The sequence below is a fragment of the Homo sapiens genome, chromosome 6 (genome assembly GCF_000001405.40).
Source record: "Homo sapiens chromosome 6, GRCh38.p14 Primary Assembly".
Classification (NCBI taxonomy): domain Eukaryota; kingdom Metazoa; phylum Chordata; class Mammalia; order Primates; family Hominidae; genus Homo; species Homo sapiens.
Window position 1 is genome coordinate 142,021,547 of NC_000006.12, and position 25,732 is coordinate 142,047,278.

The window sequence follows — 25,732 nt, forward strand, 5'->3', positions numbered from 1 at the left end:
GGCTCAGAAAACACCCCCACCGAGCACCTTGCGACCCCTACTCCTGCCCGCCAGAGAACAAACCCCCTTTGACTGTAATTTTCCTTTACCTACCCAAATCCTATAAAACGGCCCCACCCTTATCTCCCTTCGCTGACTCTCTTTTCGGACTCAGCCCGCCTGCACCCAGGTGAAATAAACAGCCATGTTGCTCACACAAAGCCTGTTTGGTGGTCTCTTCACACGGACGCGCATGAAACAGGGTGCAGTGGCTCATGCCTGTAATCCCAGCACTTTGAGAAGCCACGGTGGGTGGATTACTTGAGCCCAGGGGTTCAAGACCAGCTTGGGCAATATGGCAAAACCCTCTCTCCCTGTCTCTGCCTGGCTAAAAAATTAGCTAGGGATGGTGGCCTGTGCCTGTAGTTCCAGCTAATCAAAAGGCTGAACTGGGAGGATCACTTGTGCCTGAAAGGTCAACTCTGCAGTGAGCCGTGATCAGATCACTACACTCCAGCTCGGGCAACAGAGGGAGACACTGTCTTCAAAACAAAAACAAAAACAAACAAACAAACAAAAAGTGGGTCTTCCCATTAAAGATAAGCTCGAATGATCAAGCATCCCAATGAATGCTTCGATGATCAATGATCAAGATTAAGAATCCCAGGTGTCCAGAAAAAACGTGATCATTAATTCCAAGGGACTGGTGAAGAAAGAAAGAACTCTAGGTCAAGAGCCAGAGAGAGTGGTCAGGAAGCAAACGTGATCGACAATGATGAAATCCAATAAAGCAAGCTGTAGGAAGAGGAGCCTGAAATTATGACATAACAAGTGAATGGAACACAACCAAATTTTGATACCCAGTTCCTGCAGTTAGTTGAGGTGGAAGAACATGTCCAGAGTGGTTATAAATATCAAAATATTCATAGGGAGAGATTAGCATGAGGATAAGAAAATGCCTTTTACTAGTAGATAATAGCTCTATGGTTTGTACAAAGGAGAGATTCTCCTGTGACCAGAGGGAAAAGAGTAATCTCACTCCCTGGAAAAATTTAGATGAAAGCCAGGGCTAATCTTAAGAGCAAGCAAAATAGATTGCAATCTCTGCAGTGAGATATATTTTTCTACTTCTTCAATAGTTATAGTTTTATTCTATATTCTTCTTATTTTTTCACTTAATAATTAAATAGCTAGTGCATTTCACGTTTCTAAAAATTAAAAATGTAAAGAAAAGTTATGAATGGGAAGGAATTCCTGCCACTACTCTGCTCTGTTTGTTCAGCACACCTCCCCCAACCATCCTCACCAGGTAACCACTTTATTGTGTATCTTTCCAAATTTCCTTCAAGCATATAAAATAAAAAAGCATACATTATTTTCTATATTTGTCTACCATTTATACACCAGGTCAGCATGCCATGCACACTGTCCTGTGACTTACACTTTTTATTTAACAAAGTATTTGAATAATCTTTCCATAATATTACAGAAATTTGTTGTATTTTACAGTTGGACATCATTGCATTGTATTGAAAACTTATATTTCATAACTAGTACCCTTTTAGAGGACATTTAGGTTGTCCCTAAGCTTTTCCAACTACAAATAATTATCCAATTAATAACCTTGTTTAAGAATCACATTTGGATGTGCAAGTATATTACAGCAATAAAGTCCCAGAAGTCAATGAGTTTGTCAAATTCTATTTGTCTTTGTAATTTTGACAAGAATTAGCAAATTGCCATCCACAGAGATCGAACCAAGTTACACCCTCACCAGAAATGGATGAGAGAACCCATGTTCCCAGAGCCCAGCTCAAAATATCTCAGATTTTTTCCATTTTTTGCTCACGTGATAGATTAAAAATAGGCATTCAACAAGCTTTTTTAATAAGGTTGAGAATTTTCCCGTATGTTAAATATCCACTTTGCATTATTTTCTGTGAACTGTCTGTTCATATTATTTGTCCTTTTCTCTGCTGAGTTATTAGAAAGTTTGACATTCAAAAATTTTAACAATCTATTTGGCACGATTCCCAGCCAGTGGCAAAAGATGCCAGCCCAATTAGAAGAAGTGCCAGATGTAAACACCTGGCATGTCCAGAGCAACACATTCCAGTGGAAAATTAGACCTGATGGTTGGTCTTTCTCCAGGTGTTTTCAGCATAGAAGAGCTGAAAATACTGTTTCCAAATTAATCTTTTATATTTTGACTCTGCTTATGTTATTTTTTGAAAGGCAATTCACGTGTTTTTTAGATAATTAAATTTTCAAACCTCTTTTATGCCATCTGCATTTTCAATTAAAATTTTCCACTCCAAATATTTTTAGCAAATTCTTTTATTTTGAGTACATATGATTTCAAATTTTTACATGTAGTCTCTTAAGACATTTGGATGTCATCCTAGTAGACGTTGTGAGATATAAATCCATCATTATTTTTACCAGATAGTTATTATTTGTCCAGCTATCTCTATTGATTAACCCTTCTTCTTCCCTAATGAAAACAATCTTACCCATATGCTAAATTTCCTTAAGTATTATAACTTATTTCTGCACTTTCTATTCTATTTCATGGATCTCTATCACATTAATTTAATTAGTAAGTCTTTATAATATGTTTTAAATCTTATATGTCTTATTCTATCCTCATTGCTCTTCTTTTACAAAGTTTTTCTATTTATTCTTGTTTATTTTCTTACATTAGATTTAGAGTCAGTTGGTATAGTTTCTTTCTTCAAAAAAGATGTAGGTGTCATTTTCATATACTTCTCATGAAAACAAAAAAAATTAGAGGCGAACTTAGTAATATCTAGCAAAATTGCATGTGCATTTTACCTTTTGAACATGTCATTCTAATTCTAGAGACCTAGACCAGATATTTATTAGCAAAAACATAAAAAGACATATGCACAAAACAATTCATTGCAGCACTATTTATAATAGCAAAAAGCTGGAAAGCCTAAACTACTGTCAATAGGAGGCCAGTTGAATAAAATATGTCTACCTACACAATGGAGTAAAGAGTAGCTGTTTGTATTGAGGATTATCTCTCTATACTATTATGGAGTGATCTGAGTTAAGTGGTATCTAATGAGTTTTTAAATTTTCCTCTGTTTCTCTGAGCTTTTACCTATTGTCACTTGTTTTTAGTGCATTTTGTTTTTTATCAGTGGATTAAATAGTGATTAATCCCATTTTTTCTCAAAACAAACAGCTTTCATATTTATTTTACATTTTTTCTGTATTTGAATGCATTTTGGGGTTATTTTATAATCTCTAGATTCGGATGCTTCATAACTTTATTTAAATTTTCTTTATTGTTATATAACTATTTAAGTCTGTGCATTTCTTTTTAGCACTCCTTCAGTGAATTCCATAGTTATTCAATGTAATGTTTTTATTGTTTTCTAGGAATTCTACAATTCCAGGTTGCATTGTATATTAATTCTAGAGAAGTTTAAAAGTTATTGCTTTGTTTGTTTCTTTTAATTTCCAGACAGAAGTACCTTTTTATTTTCTGGTTTTGTTATATTTTCTATTTTTACCACATTTCAATCAGATAAATTTTCTATACTATTTACATTTTATGGAATTTCTTGAGGTTGCTTCATGAGCTTTTAAATGGTTAATTTTCATAAATGCAACAAGGACACTTAAAAAAATCCATTATTCTTATTTTTCAGGGATCAAAGTTTGGTACATACCAATCAAAGGAACTTTTAAAATTATGTTATTTATTTCATCATAGCCTTAAATTTTGTCCAGTTTGATCTGTCATAGACTAAGAAAGGTAAATTCATTCGCTTGCAGTAAGTGGATATTTTCTCCTTTCGTCTTCTATATTTTCTCAGCTACTTCTGTATATCTCCATTTTAAATTCCTCATATTAGCATTACAAAGGGCCTTCTCTTCTTCTTTGAATAATTGATGGACTAAATTGCATTTTGTTTAATATCTTAAAGTCAAGATCTCCACATTATTTTTATTTGCATTTGGCCTGGAAATACATTTGCCCATTTCTCTCCCAGATTTTCTAGATTGTCTTGCTCACTGATGTGATTTTTAACCTAGAGTTAGTTTCGTTTATGGTGTAATATGAAAATCCATTTCTTTTAATGGATGGATAAGTCCATTAATATTTACTGTTTGTAAGAATAACATACCCAGGAATACAGGTAACTAGGCAGGCAAAAGACCTCTACAATGAGAACTACAAAACACTGCTCAAAGAAATCAGAGGTGACACAAACAAACAGAAAAACATTCCATGCTCATGGATAGAAAGAATCAATATTGTTAAAGTGGCCATATTGTTCAAAGCAATTTATAGATTCAATGCTATTCCTATGAAACTACCAATGACATTTTTCACAGAACTAGAAAAAAAAATTTTTTTTAATTCATATGGAACAAAAAAGGAGCCCAAACAGCCAAGGCAATCCTAAGCAAAAAGAACAAAGCTGGAGGCATCATGCTACCCAACTTTAAACTGTACTACAGTGCTACGTTAACTAAAATAGCATGCTACTGGTACAAAAACAGGCACATAGACCAATGGAACAGAATACAGAGCCCAGAAATAAGGCTGCAAATCTACAGCCATCTGATCTTCAACAAAGCGGACAAAAACAAGCAACAGGAAAAGGACTCCTGATTTAATAAATGGTGCTACGATAACTTCTTAGCCATATGCAGAAGATTGAAAATGGACCCCTTCCTTATGTTACAAGAAAGAGGTCCCAATCCAGAGCCCACGGGAGGGTTCTTGGATCTGGCGCAAGAAAGATTTCAGGGCGAGTCCACAGTGCAAAGGAAAAGCAAGTTTATTAAGAAAGTAAAGCGGTGAAAGAACAGCTACTCCGTAGAAAGAGTAGGGTGTTCCTGAAAGTAAGAGGAGAAATGCGTCCACCCAAAGTACACTACTCGTATATGTAGGATAAAAAAAAAGATCATGGGGAGATGTGCTGTGATACAAGCCTTTGTGATAAAGGATTAATTTTCTTAATACTATATTTTGCAAGAATTAGTATTATTATCTTTAAAGCAAAATCAGGAATGCCTTTGTTCTTAAGATATTGAGGTATTAGGACACTCCTAAGTCTGGATCTGTTTAGCAAACATTATCCATCTGCTCCCTTAACCATAAACACCTAGAGGCTAGGAATACCTAACTTCTGGAATGTAGCCTAGCAAGTCCCAGCCTCATTTTCCTGGCCCTCACTCAAGATGGAGTCATTCTGGTTTCAATGCCTCTAACACTTACACCCTATCCAAAAATCAACTGAAGATGAATGAAAGACTTAAATGTAAAACCCAAAGCTATAAAGTCCCTGGAAGCCAGTCTAGACAGTACCACTCTAGACATAGGACCTGTCAAAGATTTCAAGTTGAAAACACCAAAAGCAATTGTAACAGAAGCAAAAATTGACAAATGGGATCTAATTAAACTAAAGAGCTTCTGCACCGTAAAATAAATTATCACATAGTAAACAGAGACAACCCACAGAATGGGAGAAAATTTCTGCAAACTGTGCATCTGACAATAGTCTAATATCCAGCATCTATAAGGAACTTAAATGTATAAGAAAAAAAACAACTAAGAAAAAAACAAACAACCCCCATATGGTTTGGCTGTGTCCCCACCCAAATCTCATATTGAATTCCCACGTGTTGTGGGAGAGACCTAGTGGGAGGTAATTGAATCATGGGGGCAGGTCTTTCCCGTGCTGTTCTCAAGCTGTTCTCATGATAGTGAATGAGTCTCATGAGACTCATATTTTAAAAAGGGAGAGTCCCCCTGCACAAGCTCTCTTCTCTTGTCTGTTGCCATGTGAGATGTGCCTTTCACCGTCTGCCATGATTGTGAGACCTCTCCAGTCACATGAAACCCTAAGTCCAATAAACCTTTCTTTTGTAAATTGCCCAGTCTCAGGTATGTCTTTATAGCAGCATGAAAATGAACTAATACAAACCCCATTAAAAAATGGTAAAAGGACATGAACTTTCCAAAAGAAGACATGTATGTGGCCAAGAAGCATACGAAAAAGAGCTCAACATCACTGATCATTAGAGAAATACAGATCAAAACCACAATGAGATACCATCTCATACCAGTCAGAATGGCTATTACTAAAAAGTCAAAAAATAACAGATGCTGGCAAGGTTGTGGAGATAAGGGGATACTTATATCCTGCTAGTGGGAGTGTAAATTAGTTCAACCACTGTGGAAAGCAGTGTGGTAATTCCTCAAAGAATTAAAAAGGGAACTACTATTTGACCCAGCAATCCCATTACTAGGTATATACCCAAAGGAATATAAATTGTTCTACCATAAAGATACATGAATGTGTATGTTCATTACAGCACTATTCACAATAGAAAAGACATGGAATCAACCTAAATGACCATCAGTGCTAGACTGGATAAAGAAAATGTGGTACATATACACAATGGAATACTATGCAGCCATAAAAATGAATGAGGTCATGTGCCTTGCAGGGACGTGAATGGAGCTGGAAACCATTATCCTTAGCAAACTAATGCATGAACAGAAAACCAGCTACTTCATGTTCTCACTTATAAGTGGGTGCTAAAGGATGAGAACACACGGACACATAGAGGGAAACAACAGAAACTGGGGCCTGAGGGTGAAGGGTGGGAGGAGGAAAACGATCAGGAAAAATATCTAATGGGTACTAGGCTTAACACCTGGGTGACAAAATAATCTGTACAACAAGCCCATGACATGAGTTTACCTATGTAAGAAACCTGTACATGTACCCCTGTACTTAAATAAATATGTGTGTGTGTGTGTGTGTATGTGCACGCATGTGTGTGTGTAATAGTTGAAATAAGTTATTTGGGCTTTTTAAATAATTTCAACTATTATTTTAAATTTGGGGGTGCATATGCAGGTTTGTTACATGTGTGTATTGCATGATGCTGAGTTTTAGGGTAGAAATGATCCCATCACCCAAGTAGTGAGCATAATACTTAGGTCATTTTTTAGCCTTTGCCACCCTCCCTCTCTACCCCTGCTAATTGTCCCCAGTGCCTATTGTTTCCATCTTTAGCTCCATGTTTGCCCAATGCTTAGCTCCCACTTGTAAGTAAGAACATGTGGTATTTGGTTCTCTGTTCTTGCATTACTTTGCATAGAATAATGGACTCCAGCTGCATTCATGTCGCAACAAAGGACATGGTTTCACTCTTTTTTATGGCTGTGTAGTATTCCATGGTGTATATATACATTTTCTTTATCCAGTGCATCATTGATGGGCACCTAGGTTGATTCCATGTCTTTGCTATTGTTAACAGTGTTGTGATGAACACAGACGTGCAGGGGTCTTTTTGGTAGAACGATTAATTTTCCTTTGGATATATATTCAGTAATGGGATTCCTAGGTCAAATGCTCATCCTGTTTTAAGTTCTTTGAGAAATCTCCAAACTGCTTTAACATAGTGGCTGAACAAATTTACATTCCTTCCAAGAGTGTATAAGTGTTCCCTTTCTCCACAGCCTCACCACCATGTTACTTTTTGACATTTTAATAATGTCGATTCTGACTGATGTGACATTAATATTTGTTGACATGCAGATGCCAATAAACATTGCCCTGCCAGAAATATCTATCTGTTGCACCACTTGGGTGTGTGCTTTTAGGGGGATTTCCTCTCAAGTTTCAGCTATTAGCTCTTCACCATGTATTTTTCTTTTCTGAGTATCTCTGCCGTACTCTGTACATAGTTCTCCCTGTGAGATCACATACACTGTCAGTAATTTGTTCCATAAAAATGCTTTTTAAATCTATGTAAGGTGTACATCAATCAGGTAATGAAACACATTCTTGTTTGATTTATGAAATCACACTCAATGCTACATGGGACATTTACCCCTCTAATACTGGCCTCAAGGATACAGTCTTACATTTCCACCTTCCTTGGAGATATATTGAATATTCTGCCTTCGAATATAGCCAAAATGAATTCAAAAATTTCTGCCAAATCACTGTTCTCCAATATGAACTCCATATTATCCTCAAAAAAATATGTAGCAAATTGACAGACCACTGTCCTTTTTCTCATTTCATTCCCCTTGCCTAGAAGGCTATATTCGTGTATGGAGAGCCCACTCATCCTTTAAGATCCACCTTCAATTTGAAACTTTTACTTGCTCTCCCAGTTGAGCATATTCTCACCTTCTTTAGAACAAAATTTGTTTGGGATACACCACTGAGTTTTGCGTTTATAAAATTCATCATCGTCTTGTGAATTACTTTCCTACGTGAACATTATTTTTGCAATTAAATTGAAATTATCTCAGAAAAATGGAACTTCCTTATAATTCTATAGATACATACTTGACAGTACTATTCAACTGCAGAGATTAGACCTCATTAAGAGTTTGTTTATAATTATAGCACCTTAGTGTAATTCACCTATTCAGTTTACTGGTTTTAGAGTAATTCTGAAAGAAATCTTAATAGAGATATTCGGTGATGAGCAAAAAGCTCATACGTACCTAGAAGCAAAGAAGAGGCAGAAAGAAAAGTGTATTAGTCAGGGTTCTCTAGAGGGACAGAACTAATAGGATAGATGTATATATGAAAGGGAGTTTATTAAGGAGAATTGACTCACACGCTCACAAGGTGAAGTCCCCCGATAGGCCGCGTGCAAGCTGAGGAGCGAGGAAGCCAGCAGTGGCTCAGTCCGAGTCCCAAAACCTCAAAAGTAGGGAAGCTGACAGTATAGCCTTCAGTCTGTGGCAGAAGACCTGAGAGCCCCGACAAACCACTGGTGTAAGTCCAAGAGTCCAGAAGCCAAAGAACTTGGAGTCTGATGTTCAAAGGCAGGAAGCATCCAGCGCGGGAGAAAGATAAACGCTGGAAAACTCAGCAAGTCAGCTTCTTCCGCCTTCTTCTGTCTTAAAGCCAAGGTGACAGCTGATTGGATGGTGCCCACCCACATTGTGGGTGGGTCTTCCTCCCCCAGTCCACTGACTCAAATGTTAATCTCCTCTGGCAACACCCAGAGACACCCAGCAACAATACTTTGCATCCTTCAATCCAAAGGATTAACCATCACAAAGAGCAAGAAACAAAGAATGGTAGGAAAGAGAAGACAACATACTTTGTTTCACTCATATTTTTATTGGAGCAATCCCTTTTCCTAGGTCAAAATTTTTAGTTATAGAACATTTAATAAATCTTTGCATTTACAGATTTTTTCCAAAATCTTATAAAAATCTTCAAATATGCAGCAAAGTTGAAAGAATTTAAAATAAACACCAGTACATTCACTTCCTAAATTTACCACTAGTATTTTATTTATTTTTAACCCTGTATTTACTCATCTCCCCGTCATCAAGCTCTATTCGTTTTAAAGTAAATCACAGAATCTATATTCTTCTGCTTAAGTACTTCTGAATGCAGATTATAAAGAAGAGTGCAATTTTTTTACAGCTTATTTTCTTTTATTTAAAATTTACTGCATACCATTATCTGACCATACCATTATGTGACAGCTACACTGGGACAGCTCTGTGCTTAACAACTGGAGATGCCTAGAAAAGTCTGGGACCAAGATAAAACAAGTGGGTTAACTAACGATTAATACTGTGCTGTTTAATTTTCCCATTTTATACTTTACACCCAAGACCAACTTGTTTATTGATCGCTTACACCTGGTGTAACTGGTTAAATGTTTACTAGCTTGGCAATGTGACTAATCAGCATAAAAGATCCAGCTGGAAAGTTTTTCCCGGTCTCATGAAACTCATATTCTTCATTCCATATTGGTGGCTTATAATCCACAGACTAAGAGTGTTATATGAGACAAATCCCTGCGGAGCTGTGCCCAGGAGTCTCTCTGGCCCCCAGGCTTGCATATACTTTCTTTCTCCAGTTGTGCCATTCTTTTCACCTTGATTCAAGGCTTACATGAGTATTCTCCTTGAGGGTTTTTTTTTTAATCTAATCTTATAGTTTTTGCATTTATATAGTATGAAATAAATAAAGTGTAGGAGAGATTTGAGTTTCAATAAATGGATATAGCTGGATAACCCAAACTCCTTTCGAGACATAGGATATTATTTTTACCCCAGAATGTTCCCTTATGCCCCTTCCCAATCAATCTCTTGAATACTCCCAGAGACAACTCCTGTTCTCTTGGTTTGATTTTTCTCGCTATACTTAGGTTTGCCTATCGCAGGACTTCATATACACGAAACCATACAGTACGTGCTTTTATGGTTAGCTTCTTATGCTAAGCATAATGTTTTTGAGATTCATTCTTGTTGCTGTATCACCACATTGCTGCTTTTTATTGTTGAAAAATATTTTCATGTATTAATATACCACATATTCATTCTCCTATTCATGTACGCCAAGGTTTTTTTTTACAGTTTAAAGCAATTCAGAAAAGAGCAGAATGATCGTAATTATAAAAGCCTTTTGGTTTTCATTTCTTTGGGATAAATAACAACGATAAAAAATGCTAGGTCTCGGCCGGGCGCGGTGGCTCAAGCCTGTAATCCTAGCACTTTGGGAGGCCGAGGCCGGCGGATCATGAGGTCAGGAGTTCGAGACCATCCTAGCTAACACCATGAAACCCCGTCTCTACTAAAAATACAAAAAATTAGCCGGGCGTGGTGGCGGGCGCCTGCAGTCCCAACTACTCAGCTACTCAGGAGGCTAAGGCGGGAGAATGGCGTGAACCTGGGAGGCGGAGCTTGCAGTGAGCCGAGATTGCACCACTGCACTCCAGCCTGGGTGACAGAGCCAGACTCCAACTCAAAAAAAAAAAAAAAAAGAAAGAAAAAAACGCTGGGTCTCATGGTAAGTATATTTTGAGTTTTATAAGAAAGTGCCAATACTTTCTCCAAGTGGCTGCTGCATTTTACATTCCCATCAGTAATGTATGGATTTCAGTTACTCAATATCCTTATCCATATTTAATGTTATCAGCCTATTTACTTTAGCCACTCACATGGATGTATAATGGTATCCTAGCATAGTTTTAATTTGCATTTTCTGATGACTAATGATACTGAAAAGTGTGACATATGCTAAAAGGACATTTATACATGTTCTTTTTTCCTATATATTTAAAATATTTTGCCAATTTTTAATTGAATTGTTTGCCTTTTCGTTATTGAGTTATAGCATTTTATTATGTATTCTAGGTAACAGTCCTTTTGCAGTTATATGTTTTACAAACCTTGTCACCCATGCTGTGGCTTGCCTATACATATATTTAACTACAATGCCTTTTGGTGAACGTAAGTATTTAACAATTTTTTAAAGCCTAGTTTATCAATTTAACCTGCAGAAGCATAAAAAGTAATAAATCATTGTTGTTTTAAACTGTAATTTTTTGGGTGGTTTAATATACAATAATAACGCACTTGTCTATATACATAGGTTAAAGGTAAAATTTTAAAAATAAGTTTAAAAAATGAGAGATTTGATTCAGTCTCACCCATCTAAAGGGTGCTGAACTGATAAAAGCTGAACATTTTTATTACAATAAATATAAATCATAACTTTCTTATATATTCCCCCATTCAGGCATGAATACTAAGGAATTCAAATTCTTCATGCATTATGCAAAGACTGACACAGAAACTCTTGAAATCTCACAAGAATGGAGCTCCACTTTAAAATTTTGGTTGGTACTTTTTTTAAGTGCTAGCTCTTGATAATTTGTTTGATGTAGCCAATAACACTTCTTCAATGTGAAAAATCAGTCGACTAAAATTATTTGAGTCACAAAAAATTGGAGATGAGATTTATATAGTTATGGTTGTAATGTATAATAATTATATTATAATGTAATATATAATGTAATACAATCAATTATAATGTAAAACAATCAATTAAAAAGATTGTAAGAGCATCTGTCCTCATTTACACCAGGGGACAATAATAATATGATATGCTCTTATTAACTGTATTAACTAATTAATGTTAATGAAGATTGTGGGTGTCTTGTTTTTCTTGAGAAGACAGTTACAAACTTCAAAGCTGTGTTTGACGCACTTATATTTGAATACAAAGAGATTAACAAAATCAAAAATCTTTTGTAAATAAATTATATTATTTTGTGTTTTAAAATTTCATGTGTCTCTGGAAAAGAGTAATTTTAAAACCTTAAGAACAGTAGAGCCATCTAAATTTGGGGGAGATATGGAAAAAGTACATCCTCTAAAATAATTTTCTTTAATTTGAAATCACAAAAATATACAGCCTAATAATGAAATGATTATATTATGTTTGGGATAAGTTATTAAAGAGTATTCCTTTACTTGGGTTATATTAGGTTAAGACTTGGTTTTTATCCTGAAAGTGTATACTAGGATCCATGTCCATCCATTCACTCCACAAATATTTATTAAATACCCAGCTTTATGCCAGGTGTTGTTAAGAGCTCTGCAAATACAAAAATGAGCAAAATTAAAAAGTTTTTACCCTCATGGAGCTGACTTTATAATGAGAAGAAGGAATTCTTAACTAAATTATATAGTGGAAATAAGTACTCTAGAGACAAATAAAACAGGTTAAAGTGTTGGTGAGTGGTGAAAGAAGAGGGAACACTATGTGCTAGGGAAAGACCTATCTGATAGATGATGCTCAAGGAGATAATTGAAGGGCATAGAGAGCCAGCCATTTAGCTTGCTGGAGGAAAAGTGGTCCAAGAAAAGGAAGAGAAAGGGCAAAAGCCTCAGAACAAAACTATGTGCCTATCTTCCAGAAATCCAATGAGGCTGGCACAGAGTGACATTAGGGATATATAGCTGGGGTCAAACTATATCATATCTCTTAGCGTACTATAGACTTCTTTTTCTTTTTTTCCCGTGACTGAGAAGGTAAACCACTGGATGACTTTGAGTAGAGAAGCGACATAACCTAACTCTTTTATAATTCACCCTTTCTGCTCCATGAGCAAACATCAAGGTTAAGAATGGAAAGTGTCGCAGCAATTAGGAGACTAGACAGTTATCCACTTAAGAGATGTTTGTGCCTTGGACCAGCAGGGCTAGCACTGGACATGACCATAATGTGGCTGGATAAACAAGTCTAGAGTTCAAGAGAGAAGACTGGCTTGGAGTTCTAAATTCGAGGGACCATACCATATAGGTGGTATTTAAAGCTTCAAAATTGGATGATACCTCTTTCTAAGTGGATATGGTTAGAAAATAAAGTGTTGAGGGAGACAGAGGAAGAACAAGTTAAGAAGCTGTGAAATAAAACCAGAGGTTGGAGGTAAAACAGGCAAATGCTATGTATCCGAAGCTAAGTAAAGAAAGTGTACTAAGAAGAAAGGAGAGTCATCTACTGTGTCAAATGGTGCTAGTAGGTTTAGCAAGGTGAGGTCTGAGAAATGACTGTTGGATTTGTCAATATGAGTGAAAGGCACTGGTGAAAGGAACAATTTTGATGGTGTGGTGGGGTAAATGCTTAGGGGACAGACCATTCTTCCTTAGACTTTGGGGTAAGAGGGGACTGAGAAATGGAGATGCCAATTGTAGCAGAAAAATTGGCCAGAAAAAGGATTTTTTAATGTAAGAAATCATAACACTTTCATAAGCAGCTAGAAATGATGCAATGGAGAAAAAGAAAAACTGATGACCTATGTAAGAAGAACCCAACAGTAAAACATCATGGAACATTTCTCTAGATTCACCCAATCCCTGTGTTCCGTCTTCAGAGCTAACTCTTGCTCTTCCTTCTGCTGCCACCTTCGTGGAATGACTTCTTTTTTAATTTTATTTAATTTTATTTATTTTTTGAGACGGAGTCTTGCTCTGTCACCCAGGCTGAAGTGCAGTGGCACTTTCAGCTCACTGCAACCTCTGCCTCCCGGGTTCAAGCAATTCTCCTGCCTCATTCTCCCCAAGTAGCTGGGACTACAGGCACACACCACCACGCTCAGCTAATTTTTGTATTTTTAGTGCAGATGGGGTTTCGCCATGTTGGCCAGGCTGGTCTGGAACTCCTCACTTCAGGCGACCCACTCGCCTCGGCCTCCAAAAGTGCTGGGATTACAGGCATGAGCTACTGTGCCAGGCCCTGTGGAAGGACTTCTGAAGCCTCATTAGTTGCTTCTAGCTCTTCATCTCTGGCTCCATTCTCCAGAAATCTATGCCTCAGTCCTCCTCTCTTGTCTCAGTAAAGCATGCCCTCATCCTTCATTAGACAATTTTAAAATGATTTCACCTTACTTTCCGAATGTATCCTACACCTATTTTGAATCTAATAGTCTTAAATAGTTTAGCAAGAGGCATTTGGTATGTGGGTGCATACTTTTGCAATATTTATAAGAAAATGTTCAGTTTTATTCGCGCTAACTTTAGAGCCAAGCAAAGAACATTTATTTCTTTATTAGAAAATTCTGAAACGTGGGGATATAGTTTGGATATTTGTCCCTGCCTAAATCTCATGTTGAAGTGCAGTACCCAGTGTTAGAGGTAGGGCCTGGTGGAAGGTGTTTGGATCTAGGAGCAGATCCTTCACGAATGGCTTGGGCTATCCCCTTGGTGATGAGTAAGCTCTCACTCTGAATTCACAGGAGATCTAGTCATATAAAAGTCTGTGGCACCTCGCCCACTTCTGCTCAGTCTCCCTCATTTGCTCCTACTTTCATCATGTGAGAAGCCTGCTCCTCCTTCACTTTCCACCATGATTGAAAGCTTCCTGAGACTTCCCTAAAAGCCTAGCAGATGCCAGCACCATGCTTCCTGTAAAACTTGCAGAACCACGAGCCAATTAAACCTCTTTTCTTTATAAATTTCCCAGTTTTAGGTACTTAATTATACCAATGCAAGAACAGACGAAGGTACCTAGTAAATCATCTTTGGGAATACTCACTAGATTTCCCAAGTTCCCTTGATACAATTTCTCCAATAGGAGGTAATCATTCCCATGAGGAGGCAATACTCACTTCTCTCCATATTGTCACACACTCTATCCCTTGTTTTCTAACCTACTTCTCCTCCTCTCCTCTCACTTCCTTTTTTTAAAACAGCAATCTTTTCTGAGTAGAAAAGGAATAGTCCTTAACTGCAAAAAAGATATACTAGAAAATATAAGGAAAAATTTAAAAAGAAGAAAATTACTGAAATTTTAACCACTCACCATATTTCTGATTCATTTCTCTGTTACTTTGCAACTTGTTTTACAAATAAGAAATCACACATAAAATTTGCACTTAAAATGATTAGAAAATGACCACCATTTTCTAACTATAATAAAAATACTGTTTTACATAACTATAGATTTTGTAGTATTTCATTGTGCAGACACACCACAGTTAAGTTTGAAACAGTTAAGTAGTTGCTAGTATTTTGTCATTATAAAACATGTGTTGTAAGTTGTTATTCTGTAAATGTTTATCTATGTTCTTTGGAGTGTTCCTTAACGCATATATCCAGAAACACAAATTCTGAGTCAAAGCATGTGAACCTAGGCTCTGGGTCATATGTTCACACATTATAGTTTCCAAAAATTCATGTTTTACATCTTTAGTAATTTGCTAAAAATAGTATACTAGAGTTATGATTTATATACTAATTATTAGTAAGCATAATCTCTTTCAAATTTGATTAAACGTTTGCCTTTCTGGTTTTGTGAATAGTTTGAGTGCCTTGTCCAGTTATCTGTGGCTTACTTTAAAGTATTTCCCCCTCTATAAAGTGGTTTAATGTCCCTTTTATTAAGAAAACCAACAATCTTTCACATTTTATTTTAAATACATTCCTGTGTTTTTTCTTTTAATTCCATTTTGGGGTTTTTAAATTTGTTTGTTTCTGGGGTTTTTGGAGGTTTGTTTGTTTCTGGGTGTTTGTTTGTTTGTTTTTGTTTTGTTTTGTTTTTACTTTAGTGTCTTGAAGGTGTTTACAAACAGTAAGATAGAGTGGTTATTTTTAGCTGTTTGGTTTTATTCCAATTCATAAAGCTTGTCTCCACTCACAAGTTAGATAAATACCTATCTATATTTTCTGCTGTTTTAAAGTTTCGTTTTCTATGTTTGGCTTTTTCATCCTTTTATAATCTATTTTGATAAAATGGAGTGAAGTGAAATCAAAATGGATTTTTAAAACTATCTCATCAACATTCTCAGGAATACATTTTGAAAGATCTATCTCTTTCACCTGATTCACGAGGATTTATTTATCATGCATTTTGTTATAGGGTCTGGTTCCATGACAGCTATTCTACCCTATTGATCTGCCAGTCTATTTTTCACCAGTAAGTACAACAGTTTAATCATTTAAATTACACAGTTAATTATTCTAGTTTTATATAATATTTTATTATCTTCTAGGACTAGACCCTATATATTCTTCCCTTCAAAATTTTCAAAATGTTTTACACTTGCTACTTTGTTCAGATAACAATGAAGTCTATTTTTATTGTAGTTTTGTATAGTGATTGAGAAAATCTACTCTAAATCCAATTTGCATAGGTTCATATATCCCAGCTTCATTAAACACTAGCTTTATAACAAGTTCACACGCCTAGGTTCATACGCTTTGATTCAGAATTTGTGTTTCTGGATATATGCGTTAAGGAACACTCCAAAGAACATAGATAAACATTTACAGAATAACAATTTACAATGCATGTTTTATAATGACAAAATGCCAGCAACTACTTAACTGTTTCAAACTTAACTATGGTGTGTCTACACAAGTTATGTGAACACTCTTTGCCTCAGTTTTGCTTCTGTAACTTGAGTATAATAATATACATACCACATATAGCTGCTGTGATGATAGAGTGAATTATTAAATACATGTAAGGCACTTAGAATAGTACCTGGCAACATAATATAGAATATTATGTAGAGATATTTTCTATTATTATTTAGTGACAACCACTTTGTTAAGTTTTATATGCATCCTATCACTGAATCTATGTTTGATCCCAGTTCTCAGGACTCTCCCCATATGACTTAGTGATCTTCTGAAAACTAATCAAGTTAAAATAATTTCATATTTTTTCATGAGCAAGGAGTTCCACAGGGGAAAATCCTGAGATTCATTTTTCCATTTGTTTCAATTATTTTTATAGGCTACTGATTCTCTTGACTTTCCAACCAACAGAATGGAAAGAAGAAAAAAACAAATGCTAGTGTAAACATTCTTGTTAACATCATTCCTAGCTTATTTTTATTGAAACATTGCATTATTATGTGTCTTTTGTTGTGGTTTTATTCAGTCTATAAAATAGAATTGTAGAAATGACTTTGCACTTTCTAGTTTGTCTCAAATAGACACCCAGATGTGAATGAAATTCTCTTAGTTGGTCCTTTGTGATACAGTCCGGGCTCTCACTTGTTAAGATACAGAAGATTTACCAAGAGGGCAGGTTAAAATTCTGACTCAGTAGGTCTGCACATTTAATAAGCCCCCTTCCCCAGGTGAGAGAAAACAAGTGATCCCGAAGGAGGGCCACGAAGGGCAGCATCTGGCACTGCCTATAACCATGGCTGCTTCCTTATTAAAAAACAAAGAGGACAGACTTCTCAGATTAAGAGAGATGTTATCAGATTACAGTGTGAAACAGAATGAGTCAGGGATGGAAAGAAAATACAGACACAGCTACATATGCTACTGGTGCTCCAGTAACAGCTGCTTAAAATCAACAGCTGCATTGTCAAGCAGGGTCTGAAGATACTTCTTCTCCATGATGCAGAATCCCTACTGCAGAGATACAGTCTACTTCCTTAATGCCACCTCTTCTCTGGTGTCCACTTATACGCACACACACACACACACACACACACACACACACACACCCGCACAGGCTCAAGAGACAGTGGCCTGTTAAAAGGCCATATAAAATCTTAGTCTCCACTTTACTGTGGGCTCTCAATAGATTCTCTATTTGAGTCAAGCCCTTCCCTAATCACCCCAGAGCTCTGGATTGTACCTTCCATGCTTTTCCTTCCCATGGCTGACTCTTCATTCAGCTATAGTCATTTCAAGAGGAAGGGAGGAAAATCATTAGATCTTTCTACATTTCAATGTAAGTATGAGAACAATCTCTTTCAAAAATATATCCAGGATCATATAGTCAATGATTCCACACTAATTGAGATTTTACCTCTGGAAATGTCATCACCAATATGTTATTAAATATGAATTAAACTGTGCAGTTTTCCAGTGGGTCAGCATAAATGTCTTCTCTTGCATACACGATATTTCCTTTCTCTCTCCAGTCTCTTCTCCTACCATCAGCACTATGTTGTAATGAATTCCACATATCAGTGAGAGCCACGGTATTTTGAGAACCAGTCTAGGGCTTAATGTTTCAGAAAGTTCAGAAATAGTGCAACATTTGAGTAAGAATTATGAGTGAAATGGGTTCTCAGAGAAGTATCAATCATGTTTAACTTGCAAGTTAATATTTCCATAGTCTGACATGTTTCAAGTGTATGATAAGCTTGTATAGGGAGAAAATGAGGCTGGGGATTTTCCCAAAAATTGGTTATCACTCATTGAAATTTTTTAATGGTTTAATATTTTCTTAGAGTTTTACAGTGCATTCATTGTGTTCTGTTAAAAATATTCATTAATAAATGATGCTTAAGGATAGTAGGTTTTAACACAGTCAGTTTTCTGGGCAGTGATAAAATAGACTTAGGTAATAGAACTCATCATTTTCAACTCACTGAAAGCTAATGGTTTTAGTAAATGAGTTATAAGTTTCACTGACCAATTTGCTTCATTTAAGGAAGAATCTAAGTAATAGCACAAAGAGCTGTGAAGCAAAACTTCAAAGAAATACAGAATGGGTACAAAGGATTACATGAAAAGACAATGAACTAATACTCAAGCACAAAAAGTGGAATTCAATGAACACTAAAACTCTTAGGTGTGAAAACAATCAGCTCCAAACAGAATGAAGCAGAAAGAGACTCCCTTTTTCTAAGGCCATTTTAAAAACACTCGTGTGATATTAACTACCCTTGCAAATTCCACCAACTCAGGTAAACAGTTAGGAACCAGCAACTGACAACATTTATACATTTCTGGAGTACCATTTAGGGAATATAAATGGAGCCTAATATGACATTTTAATATCTTGTAAACTATTATTATATGCAGGAATCTTCCCTTTGATGCTTGCCATAGTCTAGTCATTTATATACACAATAATAATTTACTTTTAGTGACTACGGCTTTCCTCATCCTCATCTTCATTCCATAGACTGATTTCATGTCAATGAATACCATGGGGCTGTAAGGTCACTATCCTAGAGTTCCAGGAGAACTTCAGAGCTGAAACAGAAAGTCGCTAGCATGTTGTGACAAGTTCAACTTCCAGGTGGTTGTGGTACAGTGGGAGGAATCTTGGACTTTGCAGTCAGAACTTTTGAGTTCAAATCCAGGTTCTTCAAGTGTGCAATCTTGAGCAAATCACACCACTCTCCTACCCTGTTTCCTCACTGTGAGGTAATGATGGTAACTCCTATCCTGTAGAATTAAATATGACATTATATGCAAAATATTTGTGCTTGTCTAACACTTGACATATAGCAAGTACTCATAATTGTGGCCTAAATCTAAATGTTGCAGAGGTTCCAGAACCTTCACTTAATTTCTACTCTCAATCAAACCTAAGAATTTGTGTAGACACAAATATAGAGAGCACCACTCTTCCACTGCATACACAGCTTTAGTAAATGTTCTATTCGTTACACATTGGGGGTCCGCAAAGACCTGGCATGTATTTGATGTGCAGGCCACTTATTGCTAGGAGAAGTAATTACATAAATGTTACTGATTTGAATAACAATAAGAACAAGCACAATGTGCAAGGCACTGTTCTAAATGTATTACCTGCATTAATTTATTTAACCCACACAGTAAGTTCACAAAAGAAAAGAATTAATTTATTTTCTGTGTCTAAAGGCACAAGCAACAAAAAGAATAGAATCCTTTATGTCATAAAAATGCTTCTACAATAATGAGAAGCCTGATTCTGTGCAGCTGTTCTTTTTGCATCCCCTTCAGCTCCAGTTTGTTTTAAGAATACAGGAATCACTCCAAATCCAGGATGCAGAGTTCCATAGAAATGGTCCAGGTGGCCAGCTGTTTAAAAGAGGTGCATACAGCTAGAACTATAAGCTTCTCAGCTAAGGAAGAGGAAACGTCAACCTAATTTAATCACAATATCATTAATCAAAACAACTTTTCCATAAATCATTGGAAATTATAAACGAAAAAAGAAAATTTCCTTCCTTTCACTTTTTACTCTTTCTTGATTTTATATATACTGCTAATACAGGACTTATTTTTTACATTGATGACTGGAATAGTATTTTCTTGAATTCTGCCAGATGGTTGAAAATATTAAGAAGATCTCAGTCTAAGATATCAGAGAAAGAGACAGAACAAAGACAGGCTCATGTTGAGAGCATTTAGTGGCATTCAGCGATATTTTCACCCTCTAAGTAACTGTGATTCTTATTATTCTTTCTTCCCCACTAAACTTTCAGCTCTTATATAAAAGTTTCCTGAGATTCAAAATTTTTTGTTTTAAGTATAAAGTTTTAAAAAATATTATTAAATAATATTCCAGCAAGCAGCAGCATTTTCTGTATTTGTACATTTTGAAACATAATGAAACAAGAACTTCATAACAGAAATAAGACATTAACCAAAACATACAATGATTTTATAGATCAACAAATTTGGAAAGGCTTATATATTAAATATTCCAATATGATAACAAGACAATGCTTCTTTCTCATAATACTCCTTGTTTCTTCATATCAAAATTTTCAGTGCATGGTTATTCTACTTCCGAAAGTGCGAGGTTCATTTTTTGTTTTCTTTTTAATTGTGATAACTTAATACAAATTCAATAACTCTGTAACTATATTGCCACTGCCTACATTTCCACATAAATTGGATTCTCTTTCATTACATAATTAATTTTTAGAAGGGAAATTGTGTTTCCACATCTCAAAGTTTATCCATTATTGCTAAGAATATTTTGCATCCATCAAGTTTTAAATCATTTTAGTTAAATATTATTTTAGTTTGGAATGAAGCAATTCTTAGTTGTTTAAGTTATTCTGCATTATATATTAATACAGTTACAATTTGAAATATACAATCAAGAGTTTAAAGGTTATGCTAAATAAGATAAAACTGAGTCATATTCTACCTTGCTACATTTGGACATGCAATTGTCTTTAAAGCCCTGAATTATAGAAAATGATTAAGATTACCCTGATTTAAAAATGGATAGTACTGAAGCATAAAGGAAAAATGTTTAGGCAGAGGAAGATGGGGTGGGGTAGTGGCACTAACTACTGGGCTCTGCAAAGGTCCAGTGACAAGAGAGCTTGGGGAAAGAAAACATGATCCCAAATAGAGGGACTGAAAGTATTTCTGGATTACCAAAGAAAAGAGTTCAAGTTTCAGAGAAATAAATGAAAGATTAGGGGAGAGGTAAACAAAAGCAGACTTTTAGACACTCTGTAACCATTCAAGGACATTGAACTTCATCCCAAATCAGTGGTTCTCAAGCTTGAGTGTGCATCGAAATCAACTGAAAGGCCTGTTAAGGCAGTGTGGGTACCCGCCTCCAGAGTTCCTGATACAGTAGGCTTTGGGTGGGGGCAGAGTATCTGCAGGTTTAATTGATTCCCAGGAAATGTTGATGCTATTGATTCAAAGACACGCACTTTGAGAACCTGTTCTAAGAGAAACCTCTGAAGAACTTTCAAGAGGGGAGAGACTTGCTCTTTGGAAAACTCACTTTTGCTATGGAGTAGAAAATAGATTCAGGAAGAGGAAATGTGGAGGATGCCAAGAAGCAGTTGCTATAGTAAAGACAAGACAGCAGAGAAGGAAAAAAGCAGAGTCCAGAACTCTTGACAGGTGAATGTCACAGATTGCTCTCAAGGTTCTGGCTTGAACACCTGAGTGAATGGTTGACATTATCTGCGATAACGCTGGCAAAGGGACCACTTCCAGGGAGAGGACAGTGTGGGACATGTAAAGGTTGAGTGCTGGTGGTATTCTGGTAAGGGTTTCATACCTGTTCTCTGTGGGGAGAGGAAAGCCCTGGTTTGTAGACCTTGCTAATTTACATGGGGTAAACACTCCCTCTGTGGCCAATGTGATGTGGCAGAAGACGGAAGAGATGTGCAGTAACACACCATTATGTCGCATTCCCACCACAAAGATGCAAAGCCAAATTCCGGATAGGAGTACTGCATAGGAGTTGTGGGTAGACTGAAGAGCACAGTAAGTCACAGTTACAATGGCAATTTTCAGTAAATAAGCAAACCACAGGCAAGGGTCTATTTGTGACACCAGATCACAGTCTAAGTGAGACCATGAGTAACCAAGGCGGTAGGAGCATCAGTCTCAAAAGATGTGCAAGGAGAGGTGTGGACAGGGGCAGTCCTCAAAGAAAAGGCAGTCACAATGGATATACAGGAGATCAGTCATCAGATAGCAGGCTCCTAGCAACCCGTTATGGTTCGAGGCCAGGGTTCTTGTCTCCCTAGAAAAGCAGTAGCTAGATTTATGCAGTGACTTAGTATTAAGGAATAGAGATATTAGCTCACCTAAAAAAGAGCTATGGTATGAGGCAGGAGCTGAAGTAAGATAAGAAGGGCATTCAATGAATATGGGTTTTAAGAAAAGTCGAAAACCTAGTTGCCCAGACTATTGTCCAAGGGATATCACCAGCAAGGACAAAAATGCCCGGATGGATAACACTGGTATGAATCCAGGCATTGGATCAGGGGTCATGCTTTCCAGGTAAGGCTAAAAGAGGTTTTTAGAGGCTGGGAATCAAGCAGAAAGTAATAATTTTACAGCTCATTTAAACTAGTCCATCTTGATTATCCTGCAGAACATCTCGTCCTCATGTATTATCACTGTTCATAGGCAAACAGTTTTTACTCCTAGGACACAGAAGAAGTGTGCTTTATTTAAATGCAGTTTTTGTATGTGTTGCTTATGCTCACTGGTTAGTAGATTTCATGTATAACTAAAATATAATAAACCATAGGCACCATCAAGTCCTAAATACAAAGAGAGAGTCTGAGTGCCCTAATGTTTTTGAAACTATTTATTTGAGTAGTCAAAAATCATCAGTCTACCTTGCAGATGCCAGAGTAAATAAATTCAATGAAATCAATTGCAAATTTATCTGAATTGATAGGAAGGAGGAAGCAGGACAATGTTGTTTTCTATATATTGCACTCTTTTAGACTATTTTGCATTAAAATCCTGTATACTCAACTAAAAAGCAGAAAAATATCTTGGTCTAATTCATGTACTGAAACAAATCATTTTACTTTCCTATTACTTGGATATTTATTGCACTTACATCAGTACAAATTAATTTAATTTGTTTCAAAGCAATAGGAAATTTCAAAAACCAACTTTATATATTTCCATTAAGAAAAAAACTAATAGAAGGAACTGTCTATCCAAAATAACATAACAGACTCAAGGATTTCAGAACGCAGCAATAAGCAGAAAAAAAAGTTTTGTTTTCCCTAGCACTTATTTTCTTTCTTTCTCTTTCTTTCTTTCTTTTTTAATTTTTAATTTCTGGGGTACATGCGTAGGATGTGCACATTTGTTACATAAGTAAACGTGTGCCACGGTGCTTTGCTGCACCTATCAACCCATCACTTAAGTATTAAGCCCAACATGCATTAGCTATTTTTCCTGATGCTCTCCCTCCCTCCACTGCCCCCTTCCCTGCAGAGGCCCCAGTATGTGTTGTTCCCCTCCCTGTGTCCATGTGTTCTCATTGTTCACCTCCCACTTTTGAGTGAGAACGTGGTGTTTCATCTTCTGTTCCTGCGTTACTTACCAGCGCTTATTTTCTAGCACCCTTTGTTGTTTTTACCTAATTTTGGAGACCATTTCTTTAAAAAGAAAAAAAAATCAGTTATTCCGTTTGGTTTCTATAGTAACAAAAACTAATTTCTGGGTTTCTCCATGATCTATGATCATGTTGAAACCAAAGAGCACTCATGGGTCTTGCAAAATTCATAAAGTCCTGAACAAATAGGACTGCCATCTTCTGGCATTTGTCTGAAATGACTGATAATTGTACCAATTCTACATTGTAATCATAAGATTTTTATCCTCATTTTTTCACCTGCTGTTTTTTAACAAAGCATGACATAGTACCTGATCAGACAGTTCTTGGGTGACATCATCAACTTGCAAATAAGCCATTTGTCCCAAAGGGAACATGCAGAAGTGAGGATGTCTTAATATAAATGTTTATTCCAGAAACTTGGAAGAGAAATACATTGGGTTCTGAAAGGATCAAAATCTTTCTGCTTCTTTCAAGGGGTTATTTAATCGTTTTAGAATCAAAATAATTCAAAACATGGGTTGTGCAGTTCAAGGGAGATTTCACCAGTGATTACTATTACAGTGTTTTTCTCTTGTAGGAACGAACAGAAATAGGACTAATGGAAGAGGGCATATAGGATCTGGAGACTTCCTCCCACCCTTTACAGCTGACAGCAGTGAGTTATGAGGTGTTACAGAGTAAAACAGAGTTACCGTAAGAGCTGTCCAAATAACTTATGTCCTTGAATCACAACACCATCTTCAGAAGATAATTCATGTCACAAGTGAATGTTCAGTAATATGGATTTTCTCCAAAACACCATATTTAACAGGCAACATCATTGCGAGGTGAATTTAATGGCAGAGTGCATTATTTAATAGAATTGAACTATACTCTAACATTCAACAAGAGCTGATTAAAATGTATGCATAGTTGATAAAGAAACTTAAATACTGGATGTGAATAGCAAATAATAATCAGAATAAAATTTTAAGATTCAGCCAAATCAAAGATTAAAAAGAGTTAACATTAATATAATTAGAATTTGGATATATTTCAACACTATCTTATTATTACAGACATAATATTACATTAAATTTTAAATGTATAATGCAGATGTTTATTCTACCAGAATAGTTTATTGTAGCAATATCTATTCTTTACAAAATTAGGCACACAAATAATTACTTGAATAAATGAAAGGTTTTGTGAAAACCTTAATTTATAAATTAAAGACTATGTGTAGCCTGCCCCCAAAAGTGAGCTAGAATCTGCTTAATAATTGATTAACTTAAATAACTATGTAACATTATAATATGCAAAGATAGTAGTAATACATCATTATTGATTCTATTTCAACAATATTACCACTATTTGTCTCAAATCTGAAAAAGACCAAAATGGATCTTTAAAGTCTTCTTCCCGGATTATTGTCTCCACAAGAGGAGAGCTGGAATATTATAATCAGCCACTGATCTTGGCTTTATGATCAGTGTGACATTCTGTCCTAGTATAAATCCCCAACTCTGATCCATTGTTAAGTGTATCTGGTTTGTTTACCTTCCATGTCTAAAGATATTTCTCTGCAATTGGTTATGTTACTATATTTCTCTGTACTCTGTTGATTTCAAGTTTCTCTTTCTCTGAAATTTGAGAATTGGTCAGAGTGCCCTTGCTCTCTTTCCAGCTCAAGTAATTTTCCACCTCACAGATTTTCTCAATAAAAGAGTTAATTGTACCAGCCATAAATTTTATAGACAAGCAATGATTAAAGTAAAAAATAAGCACCTAGTAAAATTCTATATATCATATTGAATACTCTGTGTGTTCAATTTATTGCTAAACTATCCTTTGCATTCACCATCTTCTTCAGTTCTCACTCCAATACCCTAGTTCAGGTT

At 36.0% G+C, this 25,732-nt stretch overlaps 2 long non-coding RNA genes across 2 annotated transcripts in view; one reads left to right on the forward strand and one right to left on the reverse strand.

Moving 5' to 3' along the window:
• Nucleotides 1-8,880, reverse strand: part of LOC105378031 (uncharacterized) — a 181,459-nt gene extending 172,579 nt beyond the window's left edge. Inside the window, exon 1 of the long non-coding RNA XR_943079.3 lies at nt 8,617-8,880. This is a non-coding gene — a long non-coding RNA (uncharacterized LOC105378031). The remainder of the gene's footprint in view (nt 1-8,616) is intronic.
• Nucleotides 8,881-11,557: 2,677 nt separating this feature from the next.
• Nucleotides 11,558-24,511, forward strand: LOC107986654 (uncharacterized). The gene is made up of 3 exons (XR_001744394.2): nt 11,558-11,646; nt 16,170-16,226; nt 24,430-24,511. It is a non-coding gene; the product is annotated as an uncharacterized LOC107986654 (long non-coding RNA).
• The last annotated feature ends 1,221 nt before the right edge of the window (nt 24,512-25,732 follow it).